The following is a 7,467-nucleotide window of genomic DNA, read 5'->3' on the forward strand; positions in this document are numbered from 1 at the left end:
GCGCAGTAGCTTATGCCTGTAATCCCAGCATTTTGGGAGGCTGAGGCAGGTGGGTCACGAGATCAGGAGTTCAAGACCAGCCTGGCCAAGATGGTAAAACCCCATCTCTACTAAAAATACAGAAATTAGCAGGGTATGGTGGTGGATGCCTGTAATCCCAGCTACTTGAGAGGCTGAGGCAGAGAATTGCTTGAACCTGGGAGGCGGAGGTTGCACCGAGCCCAGATCGCCACTGCACTCCAACCTGGGAGACAGAGCGAGACTCCGTCTCAAAGTAAGTAAATAAAAAATAAAATGAAGAATCAAATAAATAGTGCTCTATTCCTCATTCTGCAGATGCGGAGTGTGTTAGCCATTGACAGGGCTGATCTTCAAGTTTACCTCTGCCTGACTCTGAAATTAGAATTTCCTCTACGGTGCAATCTATTTTCCCTGATGGCCAGGACACTTGTTGAGCTCTTTCTTTGGGTCATGGACTGGGCTAGGGTTAAGGGATATTCAGTGGAGCAAATGTTCCCCTTCTCTGCCCTTCTAGAACCTTGTTCCTCTAGTTACAATATTTTAATATTGTTGTTAATGTTTCTTTTCTTATTTATATTTAAGATACATCCTCAGGCTCTTCATTTTAAACAGGGATTCTCAACCTTAGCACTAGTGGTATTTTTGGGCCCCGATAGTTCTGTGTTGCTGGAGCTCTTCTGTGCATTGTAGGATGTGTAGTAGTATTCCTGGCCTCCACTCACTGGATGCCACTAGCATCCTCCTAAGTTGGAACATCCAGGGGTAGTCAAATGCCTTCTGGCAAGTGGGGGATTCTCCCCTAATAGAGAACCATTCTTCTAATGTAACTGCCAGCTATTTGTCACTGGGTGAAGGGTCAGAAGCCTGTTTGGCAGCTGCAGAATCTTTGTATCAAAATGCTATGGAGTGGAGATTTACACTACAACCACCAGATATCATGGGGGTAGAAATTATGCCAAACAACAGATTTGTATTCATTGCAGAACATTTTATAAGTACATATAAGATAAGGGAAAAGTAATTTTTTTTAAAAGTACTTATAAGCCAAAAGAAGAGACAATTTAAAAAATCATCTCACAATGTAGAGATGAATGTGACTTAATGTCACTACATCCTGATAGTTTTTTTTTTCTATACATATTACACATAGGAAAGACGTATTGTACATATAGGGTTAGTCAAGACATCCTGTCTGTGACTGATGTTATGCAATCTACTTTTTCATTTTATATTGTGAACATTTCCCCATTTCTTTAAATTATCCCCCTTTTTTTTTCCAGCATGGTTCATAATGGGTGGCATATTTGTCTCCTGTTCCTTGTCATTTTTAGCAGCTGCAATAGTGATCCTCCATAAATGGGCCAGTGTCTACTTTTCTGTCATTTTAATGTTGGACATTTTATTTGTTTTCATTTTTTTTTTTGTTCTAAATAATGCTTTTAGTCCTCACGTATTTATGTACATGAGACTGTATGCCAGGCACCCCTGCTTCAGGTACCTTGGATAGAACAGTGAACAAGGCTGATCCCTGTCCTCATGGATCTTACAGTCCAGCTGCGTATGTGTAGCTAAATCATTGCATATGTCTTTGTTTTGTTAGGATTCGTCGTGCCCTGCCATTTTCTCAGATGTGTTGTCCCCTGCCCTTTCAACTTTCTTTGCTCATCAGGGTAACCTCTTCCTGTATAAGGGCCCAGCCTCTATGAAAGGGAGGCTCTAGAATCTGCTCGCCTGTGAGATTAGAATTCACCTTGGCCCACACTGTTCCCAGTTATCTAGTGAAATCAGCATGAATCAGAATCTACTAGAAGCAGCATGTGTGCAGGTTGTTAAGCGGGGAGCGGTGGGGGGCGCGGGGAACTGTAAGGGAACATGTAAGGCTAATTAAGGTACATCATCTGTTAGGTGTCTTTTTTGTCCTGTTTTTCATGGATGGCTCCAGGGGAAGCCCAGTGCCACATCTGAGAGGCATAGAGGGAACATGAGATACATGCCCTTCCAGGGCACTTTGACTTTGACAAATTACCTAATCTCTTCGGACCTCAGTTTACTCTTGTGCCTTATAGTGTTGTGGTGAGAAATGAATCGTGTGTGAATAGCATTTACCGTGGAGTCTGGGATGTGGGAGTCATTCAAGAGAATGGGGCTGCTCTTGTGCTTTAACCAACACCTGCCCGCCACCCCCTGCACCCATATGCTAGATAATTGATGTGCGTTCTCAAGTCTTCATAGCACATTTAGGAGATATAGGTGGAATTTTGTTAGTTTTTGCTTCATATGCTTTGAGGCTCTGTTGTTAGGTGAATATATATTTATGATATCATTCTTTTTTCTTTCTTTCTTTTTTTGAGACAGGGTCTCACTCTGTCCCCCAGGCCAGAGTGCAGTGGTGCAGTCTCAGCTGACTGCAGCCTCCGCCTCCCAGGCTCAAGCAATTCTCATACCTCAGCCTCCTGAGTAGATGTGACTAGAGGCATGTGCCACCATGCTCAGCTAGTTTTTTGTATTTTTAGTAGAGATGAGGTTTCGTCATGTTGTCCAGGCTGGTCTTGAACTCCTGAGCTCAGGCAGTCCGCCCGCCTCAGCCTCCCAAAGTGCTGGGATTACAGGCGTGAGCCACCATGCCTGGCCTATAATATAATTCTATCCTGCTTTCTTGTATGCAGCCCAGGGCTTAATGGGTTGACCTTCTATGCTGCTGACAAAGGAAGGCTACCTGTGCTTTTTCTTTTTTTTTTTTTTTTTGAGACAAAGTCTCACTCTGTCGCCCAGGCTGGAGTGCAGTGGTGCAATCTCGGCTCACTGCAACCTCTGCCTCCCGGGTTCAAGAGATTCTTGTGCCTCAGCCTCCTGAGTAGCTAGGATTTTAGGTGCCCACCACCATGCCCAGCTACTTTTTGTATTTTTTTTTTAGTAGAGACGGGGTTTCACCATGTTGGCCAGGCTGGTCTCAAACTCCTGACCTCAGGTGATCCACCCACCTCGGCTTCCCAAAGTGCTGGGATTACAGGCGTGAGCCACCGCACCCGGCCACCTGCGCTTTATCAGCTTATTGAGGTGTGCGGCAGGAGTCCTGGTTGCCTGGTGAGTCATCCTGCAGGTGGAATGGTTGAGTCGCCGAGTCCCCTGCCAGATTGTCCAGAGTTGTACAAGGGCACAGTGCTGCCTCTCAATGACAGGAAATAGGTATGATTTCCTCTCTCTTCTTTGTCCTTATTTCATCTCTGATTATTGTCTTCCCAGCATTTAACCACATTTGCAAGTTACGTTTTTCACTTATTTGTTGACCTGTTCATGATATTCATTAATCCTGTAGATTAAGATCTTCAGGGATTGTTATCAGTTTCACTTATTCTTTTATCATATGGTCCCAGGATACTGCCTGGCACATAGTAGATGTTCAGAAATATGGACTAAATGAGTATTATAATTGACACATCTCAGTCAAGAAGGAGTGGCAGTTATACTCAGTTGTAACTTTTTCTTGAAGATATGTATCTTCAAGTTACTTGTACTAATGGGTGGTTGCATATTTTGGCTCTTTTACTTTGTATTTTTTTAGAAACAGGGTCTTACTTTGTCACCCAGCTTGGAGTGTGGTGGCAGGATCACGGCTCACCACAGCTCACTCCTGGCTCACTCCTGGGCTCAAGTGATCCTCCTGCCTCAGCCTTCCCTGTAGCCAGGACAACAGGCATATGCCATCATGCCTGGCTAATTTTTAAATTTTTTTTGTAGATATAGGATCTCCCAATGTTGCCTAGACTGGTCTTGAACTCCTGGTCTCAAGCCATTCTCCTGTCTTGGCCAACCAATTGTGAAACTGTGTCTGGCCTGTTTAACTCTTAAGTGTAGATGTAATTTACTTCATGAAAGAGTCAGACTCAGTGGCTTATACCTGTAATCCTAGCCCTTTGTGGGAAGCTGAGGTGGGAGGATTGCTTCAGGCCCTGAGTTTGATACCAACGTGGGCAACATAGCAAGACCCCCCCCCCCCCGACCATCTCTAAAGAAAATAAAATGAAAAAATAAGCTGGGCATAGTGGTGAGCTCCTGTAGTCCCACTTCTCAGGAGGCTGAGGAGGGAGGATCAGTTGAACCCAGGAGTTTGAAGCTGCAGTTAGCTATGATTGTACCACTGTATTCCAGACTGGGCAACAGAGCCTGACCCTGTCTCTTAAAAAAATAAATAAATAAGAAAAACAAGAAAGGGCTTCTTTCCTTCTGAGTGTGTGAGCATCCCTCATTTGATGCAGAAGGTGAGGTGACACAGAAGTGGTCTCTGTCTCAGGGATTAGCAAATTTAGTAGGGAAATGCCTCCATAGCCCCCAATTTACATATGAATAGTTAAAAACTGACCGTTTCATAAAATAAGCCCTAACCAGGAATGCATTTTAAGGGAATACTCTTGTGATGAGTGGATTTCCAGAGCAAAGAAGAGACACAGTCTGAGTTACCAGTGCCAATTACTTGGTACCACTGCAAATCATTCCCCTTTGGCAACATTATTTTTAAAATTAACTTTTAGGAATTTCTTCTCCAAGCGTATTCTTGGTTCGGCATTCTAACAGTTCATTTACCTGATTGCATTTGATGGGTCTGTTGGGATTCTGGAATGTCAATTTTACTTTTTAGGAGATAGGTTGCCTGGGTCATGTCCAACATTCTTGTAGATTGAAGATATTTTCCTTAGCTTCTTGTTCTTTGCTTTCTGGACTCACATCCTTTAGTTGTTTTCGATTTGGGGCTACTATAAAAAATGTTTTTACTTATTCTCCAGATATTTTCTTCCAGCCATATGCCGGGCCCCTTTGTTTCAGGCACCCAGGATAGAGTGGTGAACAAATCCCTGCCTGCACAGAGCTGACATTCTAGAACCTGTGTAGGGGAGAGAAGATTCCTTTCCCTTACACATCAAAAAGTTCATGGCTGAGGCCCCCATAACAGATTAACAAGAGAAAAGCAAGCATATTTATTGAATATCAGTTTTACGTGTCACAGGAGTTTTCAGAAATGAAGACCCAAAGCAACGGGGAAAACTGTATTTTTATGGACAGTGGTGCCAAAGTATGATTGGAGGACAAAGGGGTATTATTGTCTACCGGTAATAAACTGTGGGGGTGGAGGGGAGCCAGCAAGGCTTGTTTTGTTCAATTTCTTCTTGGTGTCTCACAGAAATAAGGACGTTCCTTTCCTCTGGGCATGTGGAGGACCTCTCTAGAATGAGGGTGAGACTATGACCTACTTTCAGGGGAAGGTCAGTTAAGTTTTATAACCAGTTTCAGGGGGAGAAGGGATGAGAGAGGACCAGAGAGACCATCCTGCTTTTGATGTTCTCCCAAAGGCAAGGTGCTCCATTTTGAGGCCAGGAGTTTGGTACTAGCTTGGGCAACATAGCAAGAGCCCCCGTCTCTACACAAAATAAAATAAAAAAATAAGCTGGGCATGATGGTGAGCTCCTGTAGTCCCACTACTCAGGAGGCTGAGGAGGGAGGATCAGTTGAACCCAGGAGGTGTTCTCAACTCTGGCACATGCTTGTAGCTGAATTATTGATGATGCCTTTGATTTGTTTTCTTGGGATTCATTGTGCCCTAGTGTCTCCTGTATGTGCCGTCCCTCATGCCTTCAACTTTCTTTGCTCAAAATGAAACCAATTGATGATAAATGAAAGGATCAGTAGGCTTTAAAGCAGTTATTTACAACTGAGCATTTAGAGTTCCCACGCTTAAAAAGTGGGAGCTGTTCCCATGGCTGCTGAGAGTGCTGCGGAAGCTGGTTCTCTTTGTCCTTAAGTTGATCGATAGCAGGCATCAGCGGGGAAGATGCTTTGTACTTTGCTTGTTAAACAGAGGGCTGCTAAGCAGCTGTGGCAGTGTGACCCTGGTTGTGCTGCTGTGGGTGACATGAGTGTGCATGTGGACAGTGGTTATGGTGCTTCCCTACACACTGGGCACCCACCCTATGGACAGACACACTCCATGAAAATGTTTGGGAAGTATAAGAGCTCCAGGCCATGGGATGAAATGGGAAGGACCTAACTCTGATTTCTAGATTTGGAATTGAATCTGCATGTACTGTTCAGGTCATTGTTCTGGCACATATTTGACGGTTTGGTTGTCTTCAAGCTCAGGGGCTGCGAAAGTTGCCAGAATAGGAATGTTCTGGCCTGATGCAAGCAGGCACCCGGTGCCTGTGGATTCAGGACTGGTCACACTGCAGCTGGACATTATGAATTCAGATGTCCCTGATGAGACGGTGTCCTAGGACAGTGGCTAGGTGAGGTCTCAGGATCTCAGGTACAAGGTTAGAGGAGGCAACGTGGAGTCACAGTGGAGAGCCTGGTTGGTCCCATAGCCAGATAGCTACAGGTTCAGGTACCAGCTCTGCCCTCATCTATTTTTTGTGACCTTGGGAAAGTTAGATAACAATTTGAGCTCCTTTTTCTATCTTGAAAATAGGGATCTAATGTCTAACTTAGCTCCCTGGTGTTTTATTCTCCCCATCTCATCCACATCACACTTTTATTTTCAAGTCTTGTTTTCTTTCTGTCATTTATTCCCGAGATAAGTGTATGCTTGTTTTGTTGTTTATTTTCCCAGCTAGGATACAAGTTCTTTGCGAGTTAAGGATTTGATTGGTCTTGTTCACTGCTCTGTCTCAGCACCCAGCACCTACTAGGTGAAGTATTTATAGAATGAAAGGATGAGTTTGCTAGACACTCATGGCCATGATCTAGTGCTCCCAGGTCCGTATTTTTTGGCCAAAGCCAGAAAAAGACCATCTTCAAGTAGAAACATAGTTATACGCCTGTAAAAATTTGACACATTATAGATTCTGGCCACCATGCCCTTGGAACTTCACTTCTGAATCTGTGTTCAGACCAGGAATGTAGCACTGGTTCTCATGGCTTGCTTTGGAGGAAGTCTTTGGAAATTTTTGCTGATAGCCTTCTACCTAGGAGCATGAGTTCGGCTGTTTTCTCCTGCCCCTGCCCCTGCCCCTGCCCCTGTTCCCCTTTTTGGACAGTGCCCAAGACCTAGCAGACACACCTTGGGGCCCCTCTAGCCTGAAAGCCTTTGGTAATCCCTGCTTTTAAGGGCCTTTTGCCATGGCCTGATGAACATCAGACAGGATGCTGATGGTTTTATTCTTGTAGCTCCATAGCCGTCAGCCTGAATAGATGTTCTCAGGGCTTCATATAGGCATATACAATGTATGTTTTCTTTCATCGACAAAGGCACTGATGGTGCAAGTCCAAACAGTGCTGCTCAGTTGAGGATTTTCTTGTTCAATTTTCGGGAGCTCTTGACTGACTGCATTCTGCTTCACTGGAGAAGAAGATAGTTTGATGAGGCTGTGTACACTTCTTAAAAGTGAAAAAGCCTTTGCAGGTTTGTCCAGACAGTGGGGTGACCAGGAAGGAGAGTCAGAAGAGAAGGTAGGG

The 7,467-nt window shown here is 44.4% G+C and overlaps 1 protein-coding gene across 6 annotated transcripts in view; it reads left to right on the forward strand.

Annotated features, from left to right (window-relative positions):
• PTPRG (protein tyrosine phosphatase receptor type G) overlaps positions 1–7,467 on the forward strand; it is a 736,039-nt gene that overhangs the window by 90,463 nt on the left and 638,109 nt on the right. The window contains exon 1 of one of the 6 annotated variants that reach the window (XM_047448645.1): positions 3,138–7,461. The exons of the other annotated variants lie outside the window; for them this stretch is intronic. The gene's annotated coding sequence lies outside the window, so the exon portion shown is untranslated. Of the gene's footprint in view, positions 1–3,137; positions 7,462–7,467 lie in introns of those variants that run through there. 6 annotated transcript variants of the gene reach the window in all.

This window comes from Homo sapiens, chromosome 3 (assembly GCF_000001405.40).
Source record: "Homo sapiens chromosome 3, GRCh38.p14 Primary Assembly".
In the NCBI taxonomy this organism is placed as follows: Eukaryota; Metazoa; Chordata; class Mammalia; order Primates; family Hominidae; genus Homo; species Homo sapiens.